A 26894-nucleotide genomic window follows, 5' to 3' on the forward strand; every position below is an offset into this window, starting at 1 on the left:
TAATTGGAATTCCTTAGCAAACTTAAAGGGATCTTCAGTCGGACTGGGGAATCCAGGTACCAGGGCCTTTAACTCTGATTTGGTCCAGGGGCTATACATTATGTTAGGATCCCCTCTGCCTGTAGGTTTTACCCTAAAAGGAGCAACTACTCTATTATTTTATCCAGCTATTTCTGGTCCCCCTGTGGCTTGAGGCAAGGGAGTAGGGGAGGGAGAAGGAAAAATGAAATTGTCTGGACAAGGAAGTTCAGAGAGAGCAGAGGGTCAGGAGGAGCAGAAGGGGAGACAGTTTCTGGAGCCTTCCTGATTTTAGAAGTGGCGAGACAGTTTCAAAATTTTTTTTAACTTCCTAAAGAGAGGCAAGCTTATCGTTTCCTCTTTTTGATGATTCTAGATGCCACCTAAGTACGATTCCCATTCATTTTCTTTGATTCGGGAGCCTCAGTTTTCTAATCTAGCACACAAGAAAACCAATTTAGGGACATCAAAAGTTCCCCATTTTGGAAACCTTAGACCTAGGTCATCTTTAGTAAGATCTTCCTATTTACATAAATACTCGCAAGTCAAGGCACCATAATTATTAAACATAAACCCAGCTGTGGTGCCCACTGGGGACCGCTCTCCTTGCCTTTCCTCTCTTTTGGAGGGTTTATTTGCTATCTCTCTCTTTTTTTTTTTTTTAAGAGCAATTGACCTGTGGCCTAAGGCTTTTGTGTGGTGGATCAATATGTGCTGCTTGTGGGCAGCACTTTACAGTGTTTCAACACTGAGTCGTTTCTACCCTCTTACGTGTCTCAGTTTCTCTCTTCAGAGGTCTGTCACCTCTGAGAGGGCTCAAAACACCAGGCGACCAGCCCTTATATGCGTTTCCTGGACAAGCCTTCTTAATATTTGTTGGGGAGTTTCCTGTAGGGCCGCTGCATGTTGCGGAGAGTCAACCTCCCAGACACTCCCACGAGGCCCCTGGTCACCCAGGGGCGCCTTCCAGCTGGGAGGAGCAAAATGCCCTTTCTCTTCAAAGCTGAGGAACTCACTCTCTCATTTGCTTATGAAAAATAATAGTTCAGTTCCTCACGCAAAGTGCACACAGACAAGCCAATTGAGATTAATTTTGAGAGAAAAGGCAATGGAGAATGACTGTTTTGAATACACCTCTGAAACCAAAATTAAGATTTTAACCAACTTCCTAGGAGAAAAGAGAGAGAGAGAAAAAAAAAACAGCTCAGAATAAATCAAGGACCATCAACCAAAATGGGAGGTCCAGGACTCAGGAGGACTTACCAGTTTCACCAGAGGAGAAGCTAGAACTTGGTGAGGTTTCACTGGGCCCCTGCTAGTACCTTAGCTAGGGTTTTAGGCAACTCCTTCAGGGTCCTGAGTCTTCTCTGTGGCCCCACGTGTTTGGGCACCAGATTATTGTTGAAGAGTCAAACACTGTAAAATATTTGAAGAGATTTATTCTGAGCCAAATATGAGTGACCGTGGCCCGTGGCACAGCCCTCGGGAGGTCCTGAGAACATGTGCCCAAGGTGATCAGGGCACAGCTTGGTTTTATACATTTTAGGGAGGTATGAGACTTCGATCAAATACATTTAAGAAATACATTGGTTTGGTTCAGAAAGGCAGGACAACTCAAAGGCAGGAGGCGGGGAAGGGGACAGTAGGGGCAGGGAGGTACTTCCAGGCTATAGGTAAATTTAAACATTTTCTGGTGACAATTGGTTGAGTTTATCTAAGGACCTAGGATCCACAGAAAGGAAATGTCCAGGTTAAGGTAAAAGATTGTGGAGACCAAGGTTCTTTTGAAGTCTTATAGTAGCTGCCCTCAGAGACAATAGATGAAAAATATTTCCTATTCGGATCTTTAAAAGGTACTAGACTTTAGCTAATCTCTTCAGGATTGGGAGGACCTGGAAGAAAAAGATCTAGCTATGTTAATAGAGATTCTTTACAGATGCAGGTTTTCACCCTACAAAGGATGGCTTTGCAGGGACATTTTCAAGATATGGCAGAGAAACATGTTTTGGGATTAAATATTTTGATTTTTTTGCCTGTCTTATAATGTTATGCCAGAGTCTGATTGGAAAGTAAGTCATGACATATAGGGTTAAATAAAACCCATCTGATGAGAATTTATGGTTTGTAGGACATGACTCCCCAGATCTCTTAGATAGGAATTTGGGCAAGATTTAAAAAAAAAAAAAATGAGAGCTTAGTCCTCAATGGCTTTTCTGGGCTTTTATTCACAACACCTCTGACACCAAAAGTATAGGTTTTTTCTCCCCTGCATGCCAACCAATTCTCTGATTCTCTGAATACCAACTGGATGTTCTACAATTAAATTCTGATACTACCCAGAGTTAGTGGAGACCCCACAGGTCTTAACCCCATTTTGGATGCCAGTCAAAAGTATTGAGTCCCTGCCAGGCATGGTGGCTCACACCTGTAATCCTAGCACTTTGGAAGGCCGAGATGGGAGGATCACTTCAGCCCAAAAGTCAAGACCAGCCTGGGCAACATAGCAAGACCCCATCTCTACAAAAAATTTAAAAAATTAGCTGGGCATAGTGGCAGACACCTGTAGTTCTAGCTATTCAGGAGGCTGAGACAGGAGAATCACTTGAGCTCAGAATGTCTAGGCTGCAGTGATCCCTGATTGCACCACTGCACTCCACCCTGGGTGACAGAACAAGACCCTGTCTCTCTCTCTCTCTATATATATATATATGGTCCCCAGGTTACCCACACTTATATCTAGCTACAAATTGGGTAGTCTCATGATCCCTACCCCCCAGTTCAATAATATGCTAGAATGGCTCATGAAGTAAAGTTCTTTACTTACCAAGGTATGGAGGAGGAACTCCAAAAGCTTCCATGCCCTCTCCAGGTACACCACCCTTTCAGCACCTCAGTGTGCTCGTCACCTTGGTAGCTCTCTAAACACTGTTGTTTGGGGTTTTTATGGTGTCTGTCTCATGTAGGCACCATTGATTAAATCATTGGCCATTGGTGATTAACTTAATCTCCATCTCCTCTCCTCTCCCTGAAGGTCAGCCTATAGTACTGAAATTTCTAACACTCAAATCATGCTTTGGTCTTTCTGACTACCAGCCCCATCTTGAAGCTATCTAGGGGCCCCCAGCCACCACTCATCTCATTAGCGTACAAAAGACACTCTTATCATGAGATTCCAAGGATTTTAGGAGCTGTGTGTGAGAAACCATAAACAAAGACCATACATATTTCCTATTGTATCACAGCTTCCCATCACCTGAAGTATGAAGTCCTAATGCCTTATGACATCTCACGTTGACTATAAATCACCTGGACTCCTCTTCCATGAGACTAGACTTAAATTTATATAAACACCCTCTGTACTATTTTTGTACTTTTGATATTCCCTCTGCTTCAAAATATTCCTATATTTCTTATGAAAATCCTAGTACAGATGCCATTTCCTTCATGAAACTCTTAATTCCTCCTGTCAGACTTAATACGCACTCAAATACCTGAACTAAACATTTTCTCTTTTTTCTGTGTCACTTGGACTGTCTGAATTAAACCTTTTCTATTATATCTTTGACCTTTTACTTCAAATTGTAGTTCATTGTGTATTGCTGGGTCTCAGAAAACAATACCCCAAAATGAAAGCTTCAAAAGCAGAAGTTTTTCTGACCTTCTGCCCCCTGCTCTCCTGTCTCTCAGTCTCATTCTCCCCTAAGGCTAACCATAGCAACTAGAATCCCTCTTCCCCAAGGCAGGTCATAGAAACCAGAACTCCTTGTCCCCAAAGCCAGGCATAAAACCTAAGAGTATTACTCTAACATTCCCTCTGCCTTTGTGTGTAAAAACTGGCCATAAAGAAATTATCTGACCTCCCTTATTTGACTGTAGGCCATAACACCCTGGTTCCACAGAGGGTCCTGTCCCACACCCAGAAGGAAGGAATGCATGCTCAGAGAGGCCAAGAAGAGTTTAGACAGACAGGCCTTGCTGGGTTTCTCCACTTAGTCTATTAGCTTTAGATTCTTTGGTGTTAGACCCTTTTTATCCAATCATATTTCTTTTTCTTTCTTTTTTTTTTTTTTTTGAGACGGAGGCTCGCTCTGTTGCCCAGGCTGGAGTGCAGTGGCGCGATCTCCGCTCACTGCAAGCTGCGCCTCCTGGGTTCAGGCCATTCTCCTGCCTCAGCCTCCAGAGAAGCTGGGACTACAGGTGCCTGCAACCACGCCTGGCTAATTTTTTGTATTTTTAGTAGAGACGGAGTTTCACCATGTTAGCCAGAACGATCTCGATCTCCTGACCTCGTGATCCGCCTGCCGGCCTCCCAAAGTGCTGGGATTACAGGCATGAGCCACTGCGCCCGGCCTCCAATCGTATTTCTATACCTCTTCCATAGTTTGTTGAACCTACACACAAAAATGGAAAATTTCCCCTGTATCTTTGGTTCTCCATTGTAAAGGCTTCTGTGAATACAGGTTAAATAGATTTGTCTGCCTTTTCTTCTATTAATCTGCCCCATGTCAGTGATTTTTTTCAGTGAACTTTCAGAGGGCCCTTGGCCCCTACAGTATGTGGCCCCTACAGTATGTACATCTCTTCCACACTATCATGAGTTTATTTTAGGTGTAGACCGTATATAGAACACAGGCACAATTTTATAACTTAGCATGTAGTCATCTTTGCTTTCAACTTTTAGTTAAATTTTATAATTCACTGGGCAGACCAATTGAGCATTTTCAAAAATTGCTCAGTTCATCTTTATACTACCCCTAAAAAATGACTAGAATAATTTTGCTTCACAGATCATAAAAGCACAGGAAAAAGTTGCTTCTTTATACATGTTTCCTGAAATCAGCAATGTAAACAGAAATGGAACCTTATATCATCTATAGTAAATTATTCTCAATAATTAGAACTGTAATGTGTGCCGTCAGTATTTTTTTTTTTCCAAGACAGGGTCTGGCTCTCTCACCCACGCTGGAGTGCAGTGGCATGATCTCGGCTTACTGCGACCTCTGCCTCCCAGGTTTAAGTGATTCTCCCACCTCAGCCTCCCAAGTAGCTGGGACTGCACACACATGCCACCACACTCGGCTAATATTTGTATTTTTTGTATAGTCAGGGTCTCACTTTGTTGCCCAGGCTGGTCTTGTACTCCTAAGCTCGAGGGATCCACTCGCTTCAGCCTCCCAAAGTGCTAAGATTACAGGCATGAGCCACTGCCCAGCCCATTAGAATTCTTTTTGATGAAGCTTGTTATAGGATAGTAATATGGGTTAGCAATATTCACTGCATCCCTTAGGCTGGGCACAGTGGCTTACGCTTATAATCCCAACACTTTGGGAGACCAAGGCAGAGGATCACTTGAGGCCAGGAGCTCACAGTGAGCCTGGGCAACATAGTGAGACCCCATCTCTACAAAAAGTTTAGAAGAAAACAACAGGCCAGGCGCAGTGGCTCACGCCTGTAATCCCAGCACTTTGGGAGGCGGAGGTGGGCAGATCACCTGAGGTCAGGAGTTCAAGACCAGCCTGACCAACATGGTAAAACCCCATCTCTAATAAAAATGCAAAAATTAGCTGGGCGTGGTGATGGGCACCTGTAATCCCAGCTACTCGGGAAGCTGAGGCAGGAGAATCACTTGAAGCCAGGAGGCAGAGGCAGCAGTGAGTCGAGATCGCGCCACTGTACTCCAGCCTGGGCAACAGAGTGAGACTCCGTCTCAAAAAAAAAAAAAAAAAAAAACAATAACAACAACAAACACATCCCTTACTTTGTTCCATTCTTATGTTCTTCCCACCAGCCAGTAAGTCATCATTTAGAAGTGCCTGTTATGTGCCAGGCACAATGCTAGGTGCTAGAGATAAAACTATAAACAAAACAGAATCTGTCTTCTAGGTTCAAGAAACAGCCATGTAAAGAAAGCAAATTTATGACTGGGCGCAGTAGCTCATGCCTGTAGTCCCAGCACTTTGGGAGGCCGAGGTGGGTGGATCACCCGAGGTCAGGAGTTTGAGACCAGCCTGGCCAACATGGAGAAACCCCATCTCTACTGAAAATACAAAATTAGCCAGGCATGATGGCACCTGCCTGTAATCCCAGCTACTCGGGAGGTTGAGGCAGGAGAATCGCTTGAACCTGGGAGGTGGAGGTTGCGGTAAGCTGAGATCGCACCATTGCACTCCAGCCTGGGCAACAAGAGCAAAACTCTGTCTCAAAAAAAAAAAAAGAAAAAGAAAAAAAAGAAAATTTTATATAACATAATAGTAGATTGAATTATAAACAAATGCTAAGAAAACAGAAAAATCTCTTATTATGGTTGTCAGAATCTGGGCTTAATTGCTTGCTATGAGTTTTAATTTCTATTGAAATCCTTGCTTGTCTGTCACCTTCCTTGCCTATACTAATTTTGTTTGGGGTTCATATTTTGGGTTTCAGATTATTTAGCGATAATATAATTATTAGAAGTAAATAGCATTTATTAAACTTAAATATGATTTATTAAAATATGTTATTAATGCTACATAATATGTAAGTTCTTAGAAAATCATAAGAACATCAGATCTCTGAAACTTCAATTTTTGAGAGTGAGAGGGAGGGGGAGGGATTGCCACTTTTAAATGACCAGATTGGGCTGGGTGCGGTGGCTCACGCCTATAATCCCAGCACTTTGGGAGGCCAAGGCGAGTGGATCACCTGAGGTCAGAAGTTCGAGACAAGCCTGACCAACATGGCAAACCCCCGTGTCTACTAAAAATATGAAAATTAGCTGGGGTGGTGGCAGGCGCTTGTAATCCCAGCTACTTGGGAAGCTGAGGCAGGAGAATCACTTGAACCTGGGAGGCAGAGGTTGCATTGAGTCAAGATTGTGCCACTGCATTCCAGCTTGGGTGACAAGAGTGAAACTCTGTCTCAAAATAAAATAATAAACGACCAGATCTCTCAAGAACTCATTTACTGCCGCAAAGACAGCACCAACCCTCCAACATTGGGGATTACAATTCAACATGAGATTTGGACAGGGACAAATATCCAAACTATGTCAGGGATTATATTTAAAAGACCTGTGAAATCCTTTAGAGAATGAACTTTTTTTTTTCTTCTGAGACAGGGTCTGGCTCTGTCACCCAGGCTGGAGTGCAGTGGTGTGAACATAGCTCACGTCCAGCCTCAAAATCCTGTACTCAAGTGATGCTGTTAACCTCAGACTTCCAATGTGCTGATATTACAGGCATAAGCCATTGTGCCTGGCAGAAAATGAACAATTTTCACTTGGGTGAAACTAATTCTTTATATATGGCACTTTGCTTGGACCAAGGGGCACATGTACATCATTTTTAATCAAATAATCAATTTGTTTATATCAGTACCATTTAATCTTATATGTGTTTGCTAATCTTAAATGGCCATCACTTCTAACATTCTTGGTTTTTAACATTCTCTGTGTTCTACTCAGGGTAGCTTTATTTTCTGCTCTTTCTGAACTACAGCAAAAGATATGTATCTTTGTTTGTCCTACCCTGTCATCTTACCTAAAGGAAGCTACTTTCCCTGTACCCTTGCTGTGTGAATAGTAGAGCATGCCAGCTTTTCAACCCTACCACTGGCCTCAGCTAATTAGATCAGAGGAGACCCTGAATGGGGGTTGACCTATCCACACTCTAAACAAGTATTTTATGGTTTGGTGTGATGAGCTTCACTCAGACAGAGATAATAGTTTTTGAGACGTAGAGTCGTCTCAGGATTTTCAACGTATAGACGTAGGGAAGCTGCCAGGTGGTGATGAGCACCAAAACAGAGGTCGCATAGAATTTGAGTTAGGGTAGTAATTATTGGCCATCTGTATACTGCAGAAGTTTTCTGGAAAGGAGAAAAGAAAAAAATTGGTAAGCAGAAGCAGAGACTGTGTGGAAAGTGCACATCCGTGTGTGTGAGAGACTGTAAATCAAGAAACAAAGGAAGGGTGGAGAAAAATATTAATCTACATGCTTGCAAGAGTAGCAACAGTTCCTGGTGGGTCCCTAGGCCCTATGAGGCCCAGACTTGCCTTCTCACTATTCTGCAGGTCTACCATGCTCATTCATTCCCAGCTCTACATTTGCTTACCTTGGTCTTCCTGCTTCTGATCTTTCTCACCACTTCAAGCCATACTGAGTATTACCACCAGGTTAGTGTTCCTTAAAATCCTTAAAATTTTAAGGATCATGTTATTTACCTAGGCAAAATTCATTAATGGTTCCCTCATTGCCTTATAGGAAAGTTTAAGTTATTTAGCAATCTGTATATTGCTTTTTCAACTCTGTCTTCTAGGATGTTTTCTTTAAAAGAACAAAGTTCATTTAATTTGGTATTTTAGTATTGCAGGTAATGGTGAGGGTCACTAGCTCTATTCTCCTGGCCATTTGTCTCTAGGAATTTTTCCTGAGAGTATCAACTGGACTGGTAGCCCCAGAATCATTTGTTGCAGAAGAAACAAAAATGACTCTGAGGTTGAAACATGAGCTGGTGGAGGCATATCTCCACTTGGTGAATATGGATGGCAGTGCATTCTGGGGCTGTTGTACCTGGTTGAAGACTTTTATGAGGCCAGCCTTCTCCATCCAGCTTCTTGCCAGCTTTCAGGCAGATTGAAGAGAGCTCTGCCTGATGATGAACCTGACAAAATGCCAAACTGTCCAGTAGCCTTTTCTTTGGGGTTTACATTCTAAATGTTTTTATTGATTAGAAAGAAATAGCCTCTTAGAGATCATTTAATTTTTGCTTTGAAAGCCTTGACCACCACATTGCCAACAGAATTTACTTATAATGTGGTTAGTTAAACCGGCATTCATTTGGGAATTTTTTAGAACTCTAAGTTTTATGTGTCAACATTCAGCTTTATCTTCTATTTTTGAAAAAATGGAAAGAACAGTAACATATAACCCTTGACAAGATATGAAATGTAGTGATCCCTTCCTCATAATAGCTCTCCATTATCTACAGACTTTTTCCTTTAAAGGTTATAAAAAACTCTAGAATTCAATGTCTTTCACATTTTTTCCCACCTATGCCCTATTCCTTCTCAAAAGGAATCCTATCTTTCAGCAAAATGAGTCTGTTTATCCCCCAGCATGCCAGCCCATAATTCTACCTCAGTATTTTTGCATATCATGTTTGCCCAGCCTGAACTGTCTTCTCTCCCATCTCTAGCTTGCAAGGCCCTGCTTAATATTTACTTCCCTATATCAGAATGATAAAGTATACATTGGCATCACATATATTGGCATCACAATGCCTAAAAGTATTTTAGGCAAATACTTTTTAAATACATAACTCATCCTTTCACAGGCAGAGAATTCTGCACTATGTTTGTAGGAGAGGAGAAAACTTTTCCCTCTGCCCTCTAGTTTCAGTGTCTGGGGCCCTGTCAATTAAACTGACAGAAGACAGATTAACAGGAGAAACAGTTTATTACATGTGCATATGGAGGACTTCATAGAAAAAAAAATGAAGACCTAAAGTGGTTAGGCCTGAGATCTTATATACCATTTTTAACAAAAAGTGGTAAATTGTAGAGATGTACAAGACAAAAAAGGGGTTTGAGCTTTCTAGGGGTGGTAAATTGTGGGAAGGTAAATATAGGGGTTGTTTTAGGGAGGTTTTTAAGGCAGATTTCTCTCTTGCCATCTATGGGCTAATAATAATAAGACTCTAGAATCATCTCAGGTGATTAAGAGTCATTTTGCCCTTCCTGTATAAAAGGTAGGGACACTTCCACAAAGGAGATTTATGTTCTGCTTTTAGGCAAAGCATTTCTCCTGTTTATCAATTGCCTTCAGTTAAAAAAAATCATTCTGCGAAGGTGGCATATTTTGGGGTGGTGTGCTCTGATATCCTTCCATTTATAGTAGACCTAGATAACTGTAAGCATTGTGCAAATAAAATAAAATTGGGTGTGTGTCACAAAATGTAGTTTCTGTAGTCTTTTGAAATAGCAAAGATCTGGCAACACTGGGCCCACTTTTCTATAAATAACAGGCTAGAGCTGAGAAGTTATTATCCCTTTAGATGATACTGTACTCAGCACTTCAGTCCTACCACTCCTTACTCTCCCCATATTGCCCCAGCAAGCTGTAACTGTCTACTTGGCCTGTCTGCCCCAGAGGCAATTGAATTTAAGATAGAGATACCCAAAAGGGCAGTATTCCAAGAAGAACAGAGATTATCAAGGTGCTTGATAATGACTTAATTGCTGAGAGAAGTGACTTCATACTTATTTCCTATCTCTTAATTGAAAGAATTAGCATACCAAGAAATGAAAACCTTTCAGAAAGTAATTTTCTGATCTGGCTTGGTGAGGTTGAGGGCAATCACTAAAAAGCATTCTGTAAACCCTGATATCGTTTTTTGGGATCCATTTCCTCCAAAGCTCTTGGGGACAATAGAATGGAAGCTAAGGTTTTAAAACAGCTAATATACAGGAGCAGGAACTCATTTTGGTCTTAAATGTAGCTACGCCCATCTCTTCTCTTTTGAGTCTTCTTATAAACATTTTGATTAGGCAGTTATAGTTAGCGTTTGTCCAATGCTTTAAATATTTTCAGGTGCTTTTATTATATCGTCTTCTTAAAACTTTCTAAAAACCCTATGAAGTGGGATAGAATAGATGAAGAAAGTCAGGCTCCAAGAGTTTTAAGTGAATTACGTGAATTCCCATGAGGTGATAGAATTGGAAGTAGATCCTATAACTTCAGTCTTCTGATTTGTGGTCTTGTGCTTTGTAATTTTATACGTCTGGGTCTTCATGATCTCCCTGTAAATGATGTCATCCTGTTGTTGTATGTTATCAAAGGACAGAGGTGACTCCACTAACCCTAACAACTAGATAAGAATGTGAGAATTGAATTTGGAACTGGGTCAGCCTCTATCTGTAATTTATTCAGTTGTCTTTATCCCCTTGAATAAACTACCTGGGAGGTGGCTAATAGTTGTCTCATGACATGAAAAGTATTAATCTACCTTATCTTGATCTTTTTTTTTTTTTTTTTTTTTTTTTGGTAGAGATGTGGTCTTGCTATGTTACCTAGGCTGGTCTTAAACTCCTGACCTCAAGTGATCCTCCTGCCTCCCAAGGTGTTGCGATTATAGGTGTGAGCCACCACATCTAGCCCTACATAATCTACTGAAATTGCCCTTTTCTGGCGGGGGTGGGAGACAGGGTCTCTTGCCCAGGCTGAGTGCAGTGGCACAATCACAGCTCACTGCAGCCTTGACCTCCTGGGGTTAGTCTCCCACCTCAGCCTCCTGAGTATGTGGGACTACAGGGGTGCACCAACATGCCTGGCTAATTTTTGATTTTTTTTATAGGAATGGTGTCTCACTATATTGCCCAGGCTGGTCATCTACTTCTAGGCTCAAGCGATCTTCCTGCCTCAGCCTCCAAAGTGTTGGGATTACAGGCATGAGCCACCACACCCAGCTGAAGGGCAGACACTATTATTTAAAGCTGAATCCCCATTGTCTACAACTATGCCTGGCAGGTATAAGACACTGAATTAGTTTTTTATGCCTAATTCACTGACTTACAGTTCTGTGATTCTTACATTGACAACTGACTGCCCCAAGTCAAACGTTAGCTGCTTTTCTGACATCCCGTTTCTCCTTGAGTTCTGACAGAAGTGAAGAGTGATCAGCTCTGTGAGGCAGTGTGGACACTGACCCTGAGCTACATGAAGTTGAGACAATTATGTTTATGTGATTAAAGTCTCTGTGTTAGATGGCAAATAGGTTTATCTTTGTATACCTTTCTCTCAATTCTGCTTGTACTTTAACCTTTTGTAGTATGAGGGAGGAAAAATAATTTTCTCCTCCACCATTCACAAGTTCTTATCTGGGACACCGTTCAAAAAATACAGATTAACAAGAGAAAAACAGATGGAAATGTAATAAGATACCTCTTGTATATATGAGAAATAACCCAGAGAGATGAGTAAATCTTTAGGGTAGATCTCAAAGGGGTAAACATCAGGCTTAAATACTGTCATTCTCTGAAACAAAAAAAGAGTGGGGAAAGGCCCAGCTAAGATGGCCACGAAAAGCACCATAAAACAAAGGTAAGGTTTATTAATGCAGATTTAAGTTTGTGTATTCCCTATTGATTGAGTCTCTAGTGATTTAGTCATCTTTCTTTACCTGGTGCAGAGAGGGAGATATCTTTACGAATGGAGATTTTCTTTATAGATGTGCATTTCACTTACAAGTTTCTCACAATAATCCTTATGCTAATGAGGCACATTTTGGGGTGGCATGTCCTGAGCCTTGTAAAGGTGGAAAAAGTATAATACCTTTTCTCACCCATCATAAGGGTCACATCTGACACGCCAACAAGGACAGGTTAACAAGAGAAAAGCATAATAAATTTATTTCATCCAAGTTTTATATGACAGGGAAGGCTTCAGAATGAAGATCCCAAGACATAGGGAAAACTGTCTGTTTTTATGCTTAGGTTTGATAAAGAATGGACAGTTGCGTAGAAGTGTACATGGGGTGTATTCTAATGGTAATAGACTGAGGGGGGAAGCCCAGCAAGGCCTTTCGGTTCAGATTCTTATTGGCCTGTCTGTATAGCATTCCTTCCTCCCAGATATGGGGCAGGACCCTCTGGAATAAGGGTTTAGAAGGGAGAGAGTGACCTTTCTAGGTTTTATGGCTTGCTTTGAGGGAGAGGGGTTCTAGTTTCTGTGACCCACCCTGGGGAAGAAGAATTCTGGTTTCTATGACTTGAAACGGGAAAGAGGGGAGGGAGACAGGAAGGCAGGAGAAAGTCAGAGGCTTGGCTTCTGAGGGTACTTCTGGGGCCATCCAGTCTTTTAGTTCAAAGTACTCACCATGCCAAAGTGCCATGCTTTGGGATATTGTTTTTTGAGCCCCAACAGTCCCATTAGTAGTCATCAATACTTTCAAGTCCCTTTAGTTCAGAGCTTTCCAAGAGGTGCCATTTTTCAAGGTCTGTCTGTACCATGAAGTGAGAGAGGTTGGGAAGCACTGCCTTATTAAATTGTAGTCATAGTCTGAGATTCAGGACTTCAGTAAGAAGTCTACGTGGTAAGTTCTTTGGTAATGTAGGTGAGGAAAATACACAGATGTGTTTGAACCAGTACATCAACAAGTCTGCTATTTTCAAGAAAAGCAAGCACAGAAATCCAGATTTTAAAAGGTTAAGAAGGGCTTACTGTTTAGTCCTGAGACTTTGCCAGTTTCTTCATGGTCGAACCTGGCCTTTTCTGATTCCAAATATTTGAGTGCAGTGGGTGGTCATGTTGAATAAAGACCTCTCTTAAGGGAAAAGAGGGCAAACAGTGTGCCTGATCCTTACAGGGAGAAAAAGACTCTTGGAAGAGCACAAAGCTCTCAGGATGTTAAGTAACACTGTAAAAACATGCAGGAAGAGATTTATGTTTTGGGGCTTGTCATAGCCTGAAGCAGTTGGTACTGTTCCCTAACATGAGAACTTTTTTGTTTCTCCGGAACAATGTCAGGCCCCAGGAGTCTTTCACATGACTGTTTGTCACTATTAAGAGCCAAGTGCCTGTTTTGAAGAAAACAGAGCTGGTAGTTAAAATGTTTAGAACTCCTTATAAAGTGTCAAGGGACGGGGTATGTGTAACAAGGTAGGAAGAAGGACTAAACAAACATTTATTGAGAGTCTGTTTCATACCTGACACAATGTTGGGTGCTTGTACATATGCCATCTTATTTAGTCTTTTTAACAGTCCTACAAGATAGGTATTATTTTTCCATTTTTTAGATTTGGAAGCCAAGACTCAAAAAATTAATTTTTTTCCCCAAGGTCACACAGCTAATAGTAGTGGGGACATATCTAAACCTGTATAGTCAGACTCTTAAATCAATGATTTTTTCTCTCTTAATACTGCTTTGGGTTCCATGGGTAATGATGGAGAAGGCTCACTTCCTGATTTTTTTTTTAAGTAAAGAGAAAGGGAAACAGTATAAAATAACAGCATTTACATGCAAAGACTCTTTTCTAACCCTAATCTTCAAAATGTTCTAAATATACTGAACTTTTAAGCATTATATTAAGATCTCATGAGTGATGCGGTGGAGTGAACTGAGAAGAGATTTTTCTCCTTGAATTAAAGATGTCTACAAAAGCATATATGGACTGGGTGGCCCATGCCTGTAGTCCCCCTACTTTGGGAGGCAGAGGTGGGAGGTCGCATGAGTCTGGGAGTTCAAGACTAGCCTGGGCAACATAGCAAGACTCCATCACTACAAAAAAATTAAAAAAAAAAAATTAGCTGGATGTCGTGGTGAGTGCCTGTAGTACTAGCTACTCAGGAGGCTGAGGCAGGAGGATTACTTGAGCCCAGGAGATCGAGGTTATGATGAGCTATGATTGTGCCACTGCACTCCAGCCTGGGCAGCAGAGCAAGACACCGTCTCAAAAAAATATATATATATGTATATGATTTTCTGGAAATTTCTGATAGAGCCATTATGGTTTTTATTTTTATTTTTGAGACAGAGTCTCGCTCTGTCACCCAGGCTCACTGCAACCTCCACCTCCCAGGTTCAAGCGATTCCCCTGCCCCAGCCTCCTGAGTAGCTGGGATCACAGGCACCCACCACCACACCCAGCTAATTTTTGTATTTTTAGTAGAGACGGGGTTTCACCATGTTGGCCAGGCTGGTCTCCAACTCCTGACCTCAGGTCATCCACCTGCCTTGGCCTCCCAAAGTGCTGGGATTACAGGCATGAGCCACTGTGCTGCCTGGCCTGAGCCATTATATTCTAAGAAATAGATGCTAACATACCTTCAGGATATAGTATGTCCATTGTCATCACATTGATTTAGCCTGCAGTTGTTTAATAAGTATTTCTCAGAGGCAGACTAAAACTTAGGGCCTTTGCTCTATAAATGGCAGAATTATTGGAAGTTTCATTTTATATTTGTGTTACAGTATTTTTACTCTTCATTGATGAAGAGAAATATAAAGGCTTTGCTTTAGAATTTTCTTTTCTCTTTTCAGATGGCAAATGTAAATACTCATCACAGCCCATTTATGAGGATACAATTTTCCGTTAGCTTTGCAGGAGGCCTGTCCTCTCAGTTTGAAATGAGGGATTCAGGGATTTTTCTGGTTTGTTTCATTTTATATTTTTATCCATAGGTAGCATTTTACTTTCATTTGAAGTTCTAATTGACAGAAGGAAAAACAGAAAAATGATAGAATATTTGAGTAGTAACATAGAAAACCCCAAATTATATTTGATCCCAAATCTCGAGGTGGGTTTGTACTTCTGTACTTTGAAGAATTGATGCAGCTGCTGTATTTCTTGTTTTGTTTTGTTCTAATCTCTTACACAGAGGATTGACTGGATATAAGTAGAATAATTTTATTGGTATTTTCTCAGAGGTGGAGAGGATGAGATTATTATACTAAAACAATAGATTGGAAATGTTCTGCATACTACCTCCCTTGCTCTTATCAAGAGGGCAAGGGAATTATGGAAATGAAGTATGAATGGCATCTTAACTGTGGACTTCCTGATTTTTCAGTGTTATTTTTGAATATTAAAATTATCTCCCAATTTGATTATAAGAAAATTGCTTGATTTGAGTACTCTCCTCTTCTTTCTTAGGATTGCCAGTGATGGGCAGACAGGAAAGAGAGTTCGCACCTGAGCTCTGGACCCTGCTTTTAGTCAGTGCTCATTAGCAGTCCCCTAAGCAGGCTCATGTTCTTGGCTGCTCCAGACTGGAGTCTTGTTTGTGTTTGGTGCCCTGTCATACTCTTCCACTCTGCTGCACTGGCCAGTGTCACGCCCAGAGCTTGGAGGGAAGGAACACACTTGACTCTGGTGCCTCTGGTATTCTTCCACTAGCCGATGCATGTGTACAAGGCAGCAGCAGGATATCAGGAGGTAGCCATTAGGAAGATCGAGGAAGCAGGATACTGCTGCAGATTTCAGGCTGGCAGCGAGGTTCCTTGGTCAGACTAGATTGCTAGGGGTGCAGTGAGTTACTGTCAGAGTGAAGCACTTTTTTTTCCCTTTGGGAAAGTAAATAGAGATAGTGCTTAACTGGCCAACATTTTTTAATATTGTTGAGTATGAGATATTATGGTAAAAAATCAGAGGTGTAAGACACAGTTTTACCACCAAAAAACTGTGAAGTTGCTTTAAATGCATTATCATTAAATTCTCACAACTACCTTATTTGTTAAATCGGTTAAAACGACTATTTTGCAGATTAGGAAACTAAAACCTAGCCAACCACACAGCTAGAAGGTGGTGGAGTCTTTATTTAGATTTCTGTTTATGTCTGTATGATTTCAAAGCCCATGTTCACTAATCACTGGGGAGAGGAACTAGTCAATAGATTAGGCACACGCACACATAGTGTGCAATATTTCTCACATTTTTAAGATCATTAAATTTTCCACTGATTCAGAGGAGGGAGAGGCCTGTTTGGCTGGAATATCAGGAAAATCTTCATTAAGAAAATGGAACTTAATCTAGGCCTTGAAAGATACATGAGATTTAGAAGTAGTGAGAACATTCAATGTGGGAATAATAGTGTGAGTAAAAGATAAAAGAGTTATGACATCTAAATCCAGTGTGTGATTATAGATTTGATTCTGGGAAAAAGTCTAGTTAGGGTATTACTGGGGCATTTGATAAAATTTGAATATAGACTGTATTAGATAGTATTTATCAATATTATATAACTGTGGCTATGTGAGTTAGGAAATATACACTAAGCTAAATAGAGATAAAGGGGTATGACATCCTGTACTTACAAGTGGTTGTGTGTGAGAGAACGATTGACAAAGCAAATATAGTAAAATGTAAACAATGGAACAATTGGTGAATCTGGGTAGAATATAGATAGGAAAGTCATAATTTTGGTGGGTTTTTTTTTTCTTTCTTTCTTTCTTTCTTTCTTTCTTTTTTTTTTTTTTTTTTGAGATAGGGTCTTGCTGTCACCTAGACAGGAGTGCATGATCTTGGCTCACTGCAACTTCTGCTTCCTGGGCTCAATTGATTCTCTCACCTCAGCCTCCCAAGTAGCTACAGGCATGAGGCACCACGCCCAGCTAATTTTTGTATTTTTTTGTAGAGATGGGGTTTGCCGTGTTGCCCAGGCTGGTTTTGAACTCCTGGGCTCAAGCAGTCCATCTGCCTTGGCCTTCCACAGTGCTGGGATTACAGGCGTGAGCCACTGCACCCGGCCCTGTTGTATTTTTTATGTGCTTGAAATTATATAACAACAGTATTTCAGATGTCTTATGTTTTATAAGTGTGGCTAAAATTCTTCAGAAACCAGCAAAACCCAACTAAGGCATCTCAGCCAGGACCATATTCTGTTCTTGCTTCCTCCATTGGTAAAAAAGTTGCCAAACCAAGTTGATGAGATAAACAGAGACTGTAATTTTACAGAGAAACTATGTTAAGTTGTAGTTAAGATGTTTTTCTTGGCCGGTTGTGGTGGCTTATGCTTGTAATCCCAACACTTTGGGAGGCCGAGGCAGGCGGATCACCTGAGGTCAGGAGTTCAAGACCAGCCTGGCCAACATGGCGAAACCCCGTCTCTACTAAAAATACCCGAATTAGTCGGGCGTGGAGGCATGCGCCTATAGTCCCAGCTACTTGGGAGGCTGAGGCAGGAGAATCACTTAAACCCAGGAGGCGGAGGTTGCAGTGAGCAAAGATAGCACCACTGCACTCCAGCCTGGGCGACAGAGCGAGACTCTGTCTCATTACAAAAAAAAAAAAAAAAAAAAAAAAAAAGGCCGGGCGTGGTGGCTCATGCCTGTAAATCCCAGCACTTTGGGAAGCTGAGGCAGGCAGATTACCTGAAGTCGGGAGTTCCAGACCAGCCTGACCAACCTGACCAACATGGAGAAACCCCATCTCTACTAAAAATACAAAACTAGCCGAGCATGGTGGCACATGCCTGTAATCCCAGCTACTCAGAAGGCTGAGGCAAGAGAATCACTTGAACCCAGGAGGCGGAGGTTGTGGTGAGCCGAGATCGCACCATTGCATTCTAGCCTGGGCAACAAGAGCGAAAACTTCGTCTCAAAAAAAAAAAAAAAAAAATGACAAAGATGAACCTTGCCTACAGTTCTGCTGCTGATGGTAATAAGTAGCTATATACTGGATCCTCCCTGCCTCCCTCTTTGCCCCCACACATACCCACAGAAAGATAGAAGGAATAAGAGACCACCTTGCCTCATAAGAGGAACTGAGTCTCTTTTTAACATGCTTCTCTGCCTGGGTCACATGCACATATTAACTCAGCCGGGCTGCTGCCCCATCACACTACTACATTCATGCTAGAAATCTACCAAAATGTATGTACTCGTTGCCTGTACATAAAGTGGTTTTCATAGGCTACTTAAGGTTGACTCTGAGTGTTAGACTGGCAACACCCTGCTTTCCTTTGAGTCTTTCTTAAAGTTAACTGAATCTTAGAATAACATTTACATGTGGGTAATTAGTGCCTATTAATGATGGCGTTTATGTTCTATATGAATGTGAGTCAGGATTGTGAAACAGTTAAGTGCTCAGGTCCTGAAGCCAGATAGATCTGGGTTTAAAACCAGCTCTGCTACTTACTACTTGTGTGGCTTTGAACAAATTACTCCTTATCTTTCCTCACTTTCCTCATCTGTAAAATGGGATAAAATTATTCTCACCAACTGAAATAACACATGTACAGCACTTCACATAATGCTTGGCATTTTGTATGTGTGGAATAAATGTTAGCCATTGTTGGTTATCATTATCATTATTTTTTGTTATTTTGTGTGATTTCTGGCTCCCCCTGAATTTGCTAAAGTGTTCCGATTTGTCAGACTTTTCCCACAATCTCTCCTACTTCTGTCTTCCATGCTGATTTTTCTTTAGTGGCTTTTCATTTTTTAGGCATTTCGTTTTTCCCAAGGGTCCAGAAATGATCCCTGCACCCTGCCCCGCACTCCCCGCCCCCAACTTTTCTATTCTCTCCACTGCTTTCAAAGAATGAGTGATGTCCAAGTAAGAAAGTCTGTTTCTTCCCTAGTTAGGACCTGACTCCTACTCTGCGTTTTGTAAAGGACGGAACTTTTAAACCAAGTTTATAGAATTGTGTGCGATTTTAAGTAAATGAGGTCTTACTTTCTTTTCCTCCCTAACTTAGATTAGAAGTATATCAAAGCCCTTAAAATCCATTGCATTTTCTGATAAAATCTTTCTGCCAAATATGACTGGAAGGATGTGCTTTGGGTTAGATGGGCAAATTCTGTCATTTTTACAGTTATTCAAAATGCCTTACCTTCTGGCTTGATCTCTTCCTGTTTAACAGTTCTGTTCTAAGGATCAGATGAGATCATGCATGTGAAAGGGCTTTCTAAACTGGGAAACACATTGTTAATGTGAGGGATGATTATTGCATTTGAACAAAGGCCCCAGCAACCCAAGTGATGTCAGAATTCAACTTTAGATAATAAAGCAACCTCCTATCTTCCTGTCTGTCTAACACCACCTCCAGAAGTTTGCATGAAGCTATTTGAGTTAGAGAGATTTGGTGACTAACTTCATGCAGTGACTGCAATCCTTTCTCCTAATCCCTCATCCCCATATTATTCTCTCTCAGGATGGTGTGCCAGATCCTGAGTTAGTCTTCAGGGCTAGACTTTGGGATATAGCATGGCAGGCAAGACACTTAATAGGATCTAGTTGTGGGGTAGGAGAGATTTCTTTTGTGCCATTTTCTAATCCCCTTCCTCACAGGTTTTATCCTGGCAGTCCCCGTAAATTAAATTACATTTCAAAATCAAGTTCAATGAGGGTGAGGCCAGATATGGCTTCTGCCAAAATGGGCTGGCAGACCTGGGCAATTAAGCAGATAGCTTTGGTCTGTTGTGTTTTTCTTATTTATGGACTAAATACCAGAAATTATTATTTGTACCATGTGGGCAGCAAATCAGGAAATAGGTGTGAGATCATCACCATCAACCACAAACACTTACCAGATGCTTGATAAGCACAGGACCCTCTAAGCACTGGGGAGTATTTTGTTGCATCCTCCCAAAATTCATATGTTGAAATTCCAACTCCCAGTACCTCAGAATGTAACTGCATTTGGAGATAAACACATAAAGAGGCAGTTAAGTTACAATGAGACTGTGGGGCAGGGGGAGAGGGGCTCAAATCCAGAATGACTTGTGTCCTTACATACACACACACAGAAAAGACACCAGCTGTACCTGCACACAAAGAAAAGGCCGTGAGAGAAGATAGCTGTCTACAAGCCAAGGAGAGGCCTCAGGAGAAACCACACCTGCTGACACCTTCATCTTGGACTTCTAGCCTCCAGATCTATGAGAAATAAAATTTCTGTTGCATGAGCCACCCAGTCTGTGATACTTTGCTGTGGCAACCCTAGCAAACTAATACAGAGAATAAGAGGCTACCTTGCCTCATATATAAACAGAGATATAAACAGATAGGAAGAGCTTTTGCAGTGGGAAACCCAATAAAATTAATCCTCACAACCCATACAACTCCACCCCAGCCAAAAAAACAAAATCCAAAACTTTTTTTCCCCAAATCAGCATTTTCTGAAATTGAAAGTCCTCTTATCCTTGGTCATTTCAACATTTGCCCTCCTTACATAGCTTTATTTGCTTTCTCTAGAGAAGGGTCAAGAGAAAGACTGCTTTCTAACTATGCCTATTTCTCCCTAATGGTGCTGTCATGAGTTAACTTAGAGAAACCACATTGAGAAGGCTGGGAATAGATAGATGGCAGAGTAAGTTGGTGATCCCTTTTGTTGGAGAAGAACTGCAATCCCAGAATTGGTTTGATTAGTACCACTTCTGCTTTCCTCCTCTGCCAAGGAGTTTCAAATTCATTGCTGATGCTGTGTTCCTGTTTTTGTATTAGATGTATTATGATATTTCCCCATCTTAATCTGTAGATTATCATCCTTAGAAAGCAAGTACTATTGCATATTTTGTTCAGCCTGTAGTGATGTGCAGATGTTCAGGCAACTCTGGATGACTTTGTTTATTTATTTTTTTTATTATTATTCTTTTTCTTTTTTTATTTCATTTCGAGACAGGGTCTCACTCTGTTGGCCAAACTGGAGTACAGTGACCCGATCACAGCTCACTACAGCCTTGACCTCTGGGCTCAAGCAGTCTTCCTGCCTCACTCAGCCTCCTGAAGAGCTAGGATTACAGGTGTGCGCCAGCACACTGGCTAATTTTTGTATTTTTAGTAGAGAATGGGTTTCACCATGTTGCCCAGGCTAGTCTTGAACTCCCCAGACTGAAGTGATACACCTACCTTGGCCTCCCAAAGTGCTGGGATTACAGACATGAGCCACTGCACCCAGCTGTGGGTTTTTTTTTTTTTCTTCAATTCCTCTCTGTTTCTTTCATGTAAATATATTGTAGTTTGTTTATCAAATTTGTTTGCAAATGAGTTGTTGCAAATGGAATGAACCTCATCAGGAATGATGAGGGGCCCTAATCTGAACTTCAAACTAAAATCAACAACACTCTTTTTTTAATGTGCTAAGAGTTTTGTCATTTTGGTTTCTTTGAGATTTAAGTGAAATTTATTTCTCCTTCAGTGTGATCTGCCTTTCAGCTTTTCAGTGGTTTTCTTCAGGTATGCTGTCCATTGTCATATGGGAACTAGTTCTACTTAGCCAAAAATAAGATGATTTCCCACACATCAAGCCAGAACACCTAAAAATAATTTTTTAACCAAATTTCTTTCAGTCAAAGTTTTTCAAAATACAGAAAATTCTTTTTTCTTTTCTTTCTTTTTTTTTAGAGATGGAGTCTTGCCCTGTCACCCAGGCTGGAGTGCAGTGGCGCAAACACAGCTCACTGCAGTCTTGACCTGTGCTCAAGCAGCCCTCCTGCCTCAGCCTCCCAAGTAGCTAGGACTACAGGCATGTGCCACCATATCCAGCTAATTTTTGTTTTTGTTTTTGTTTTTCTTTTTGTTTTTTTAGAGACAGGGTTTTTTCATGTTGCCCAGGCTGGTTGTGAACTCCTGAGCTCGGGCAATCTACACACCTTGGCCTCCCAAAGTGCTGAGATTACAGATATGAGCCACCACGCCCAGCAAAATACAGAAAATCTTAACAGGTAACCATTAAATCCTCCCTAAAGGCCAGGCACAGTGGCTCACGCCTGTAATTCCAGCACTTTGGGAGGCCGAGGCAGGCAGATCACTTGAGTTCAGGAGTTCGAGACCAGCCTGGCCAACATGGTGAAACCCCATCTCTACTAAAAATACAAAAATTAACTGGGCGTGGTGGCATTTGCCTGTAATCCCAGCCACTTGGGAGGCTGAGGCAGGAGAATCACCTGAACCTGGGAGGTGGAGGTTGTAGTCAGCCAAGATCATGCCACTACACTCCAACCTGGGCAACAGAGTGAGAGACTCTTTCTCAAAAAAAAAAAAAAAAAAAAAAAAAATTCCTGCCTAAAATGAAAAGTTGTAAAATGAACTAGGGTGTGATGTTTTGAGAAAACAGGACTGGGCGTGTTGCCTCATACCTGTAATCCCAACACTTTGGAGGCCAAGGTGGGTGGATCACTTGAGGTCAGGAGTTCGAGACCAGCCTGGACAACATGGTGAAACCCCATCTCTACTAAAAATACAAAAATTAGCCAGGCGTGTTGGTGTGCACCTGTAATCCCAGCTACTTGGGAGGCTGAGGTAGGAGAATTGCTGGAACCGGGGAGGTGGAGGTTGTAGTGAGCTGAGATTGAGCCACTGCACTCCAGCCTGGGCAACAGGAGCGAGACTCCGTCTCAAAAAAAAAAAAAAAGAGAGAGAGAAAGAGAAAAAACATAGAAATTAGCCATTTGTTTATTTATTTATTTTGAGACAGGATCTCACTCTGTCACCCAGGTTGGAGTGCAGTGGCACAATCACAGCTCACTGCAGCCTCTATCTCCCGGGCTCAGGTGATCCTCCCACCTCAGCCTCTTAACTAGCTAGGACTACAGGTACCCACCACCGTGCCCAGCTAATTTTTTGTATTTTTTGTAGAGACGGGGTTGCCATGTTGCCCAGGCTGGTCTCAAACTCCTGGGCTCAAGTGATCCGCCTACATAGGCCTCCCAAAGTGCTAGGAAATATAGGCGTGAGCCACCGCACCTGGCCATATTTATTTATTTTGTACAGCCCTTTAATGCATGAGAAATTAGCCAGTTATTTAATTGCATTTAACTTTGAGTGTTTATATAACTTGGCTACATTTTATTTTATTTTGTTGGATGTTTCTAAAATCCCTTTGTAAATGCTTAAGTGCTGGCGCTTACGTAAATCAATACGGAATCAGGTATTTCTAATTAGTTCCCATTCTACCCTGTTCAATGTTTACCAGTTGGGTTTGAAAGTATCAAAACTCGGGAGTCAGATGTGAGTCAGGGGTTAGCCAGTGATAGGTTGAATCAAAGAGCTGGGAATTATGGACTTCACATAATGAAGGAAAATCTCTAAGTTTCTTTCTTTTCTTTTTTTTTTTTTTTGTCTAGTAGTGAAACAAAGATTGGTGGTACCTCTACCTTTTATTATCCACTGGCCTATAACAGGGAACAGAGTGTATGTCAGACTGCTTTGAAATCTCTAGGAAAAAAAGAATAGTGATTACTCTTGGTTTAGCTGTACATAATTCATCCAACCAAAGAACCACTCATTCTTGCAAGATCAAAACTGTTTTCTTCCTTTCAGAAACAAGGCAGGGTGGCCTGGGCCAAAATACATGTTCCTTTTGACCACATATTGGCAGGACAGGAATATCTATCTAGCTAAATTATGGCTCTAGCTTTTTTCTAACCAAGAAATCTCAAACCAAAAGAAGAACCTCTGGGTCCTATTCTTGGCACATTCCCACTTTCTCTCTTCTTGGAAAGTTAAACAACTTTGAGTGGATAGTGTTTTTAGAATCTCATTGCCTTGTTAACGCACAGGCCCTGAGCCTGCAGATAAAAATGGAACCACAGCAGTAGGAGGGTATGTGTGTGTATGTGTAAATTCAGACTTTGGTTTTTATTGAGATTATCTTGCTAATGCCCCCTTTGTAAGGTTCCCTAGGTTTTCTTGATGTCTAGCAGCCTTGGTAACTGAGTGATTAGAAAGGCATGGAAGCCAGGTGTGTTGGCATGCACCTATAATCCCAGCTACTTGGGAGGCCAAGCCAGGGGGATTGCTTGACCCAAAGAATTCAAGACCAGCCTGGGCAACATACCAAGACCCCATCAGAAAAAAAATACTTTTTAAAAAGAAAGGCATGGGCCAGGCACGGTGGCTCACACCTGTAATCCCAGCACTTTGGGAGGCTGAGGCAGGCAGATCATGAGGTCAGGAGTTCAAGACCAGCCTGGCCAATATGGTGAAACCCCTTCTCTACTAAAAAATACAATAACTAGCTGGGTGTGGTGGCGCGCACCTGTAGTACCAGCTACTTGGGAGGCTGAGGCAGGAGAATTGCTGGAACCCGGGAGGCGGAGGGTGTAGTGAGCCAAGATTGCACCACTGCACTCCAGCCTGGGCAACAAAGCAAGACATGTGAAAAAAAAATTAAAAAAAAAGAAAAAAAAAAACAGGAAGGAAGGAAGGAAGGAAAGAAGGAAGGAAGGAGAAAGGAAGGAAGGCATGGAGGGTATGGATCAGCAAATCTGAATAACTGAAAATATTTTACCTATGGATCTGTGTGTGTATCTTATAGGAATTATAGAGTAAGGAGAAGGATTTGCCTTTGTTACTTTTCTGATTCTTTTATATCTTGTGCTTTGCAGGGTTTGGTCCTACACCCACTAGCCCCAGTCCCTCTTAATGCTTTAAGGCAGACTACATGGTTCATTCTTCCTGGGAGAAAATAAATCTCTTGATTTTTAAGTAATAGAAAGGTGTTAATGACCTCTCCTGGGAGTATTTATGTGTTTAAAACATAACCTAGGCTGAGGGCAGTAGTCCTGGTCATCAAAGGAAGGGAAATATTTGGGAATAAAAATATTTTTCTGCCTTAATTGCACCATAGGGTATGATTTTCCAAAGTAGTGTGAAGTCACAGTTAAAGTTCCTCCCAGCCAGGCACGGTGGCTCACACCTGTAATCCCAGCACTTTGGGAGGCCAAGGTGGGCAGATCACAAGGTCAGGAGTTTGAGACCAGCCTGGCCAACATGGTGAAACCCTGTCTCTATTAAAAATACAAAATGAGCTGGGTATGGTGGCACACACACCTGTAGTCCCAGCTACTTGGGAGGCTGAGGCAGGAGAATTGCTTGTACCTGGGAGGCGGAGGTTGCAGTGAGCTGAGATCGTGCCACTGCACTCCAGCCTGAGCAATGGAGCAAGACTCCATCTCAGTAAATAAATAAATAAATAAATAAAGTTCCTGCCAATAGTCCTAATCTCCTTTTCCAGAAAATGTTTTGCAGAGCTGCTGTGATATGGTCACATTAACCAGTTTAAGTTCACTTTATTTTTCCATCTTGTGGAAATATCTAAAAGATGGAGCAACACAGGTGGCAGAAGAGAAGCAGCAGAGGACCTGGATAATCTCTGAATAATTAAGATCTGATGTTATTTTATTTTAAAAATGCCTTTTGTTTGTTTGTTTGTTTGTTTGTTTTTGAGACAGAGTCTCACTCTGTCGCCCAGCCTGGAGTGTAGTGGTACCATCTCAGCTCACTGCAACCTCCGCCTCCTGGGTTCAAGTGATTCTTGTGCTTCAGCCACATGAGTAGCTGGGGTTACAGGTTTGTGCCACCAAGCCCGGCTAATTTTTGTATTTTTAGTGGAGATGGGGTTTTACTATGTGAGCCAGGCTGGTCTCAAACTCCTGGCCTCAAGCAATCCACCTGCCTTGGCCTCCCAATTTTGCCATTTTATATTAAACCTGTGTGTGTCCCTTGGAAAGTTGATCACTTAGATTTGTTTAGCAGTCACTTACATCAGTGGTAGATCTGAAATTTCCTAGATACCAAATGTCTCTTTCTTCCTTGAGTTTCTAGTAAGCCATTTGAAAGTTCATGTTTCCCGTAAAGTTTATTTTTGAATACAAGAATTTATGGGAATGCAGGCTTTTTAATTTTTAAGCATTCTAACACTGTCATCAGGTTGTCGTCACAAAAATCCTTTGAAATGCCTGAATGACATCTCCAGGAAAATCACTAATTGTCCAGTGATGATTAATGTTTTTGTATTACACTAATACTGTAATACTTAGTCCTTTTCTAGGAGATTGTGAGAATATGGATAAACACTTCCTCTAGAAGATTCTGTGACTCTGAAAGCACCTGGTAGGTGCTGAGGCACTGCTCTGTTCATTTATTAGAGTAAATTCTGTTACTTCCTGCAGACTCTATCTTAGTCCCACATAGCTCTCATCACGATATGGGTATCTATTGAGTTTGGGGGTGAGTCATTTTAATTTAATTGCTCAGTAATTAAGTTGCAGTCCTAGACTGACTGATGTCAGTCCTTTTTCAGCCTCAGTAGGATGACTTGCGTTGTGATTTGCAGTATGATTTTTTTTCTGTTTTGTTAGCATGCTCTCTGAACATAGTAGATGTGGGACTTATTGGCTATTGTGTTTGAAATGAGGCTATGTCTAGATAAAAATGGTCTGAATAAGGACCATTGGTAGTAATAGTTATTGTTTAAAAAAAAACTTTGTCAAAGGCTAAAGAAAAAATATTATGTCACAAATTTTCTTTTTGTAAAGTATTGTTTTAAGATACAGCATAAACTATCCATTGTATAAGAACAGGTTATAGCAACAAGGCCATGTTTCAGTTGTCCAGGACTTTTGATGCAAATTCTCTCTTTTTTTTAATTTTTATTTTAAGTTCTGGGGTACATGTG

The 26894-nt window shown here is 41.4% G+C and overlaps 1 protein-coding gene across 6 annotated transcripts in view, besides 1 other annotated feature; it reads left to right on the forward strand.

The window, feature by feature from the left end:
* Positions 1-26894, forward strand: part of COMMD1 (copper metabolism domain containing 1) — a 247668-nt gene that overhangs the window by 210516 nt on the left and 10258 nt on the right. The gene's annotated exons all lie outside the window — the stretch shown is intronic.
* Positions 555-844: an enhancer, noted in NCBI's record as "active region_15846". NCBI's record gives its function as "activates an Ori minimal core promoter by ATAC-STARR-seq in GM12878 lymphoblastoid cells {active_cell/tissue: GM12878}" and the evidence as "EXISTENCE:reporter gene assay evidence [ECO:0000049][PMID:35858748]".

The sequence above is a fragment of the Homo sapiens genome, chromosome 2 (genome assembly GCF_000001405.40).
Source record: "Homo sapiens chromosome 2, GRCh38.p14 Primary Assembly".
In the NCBI taxonomy this organism is placed as follows: Eukaryota; Metazoa; Chordata; class Mammalia; order Primates; family Hominidae; genus Homo; species Homo sapiens.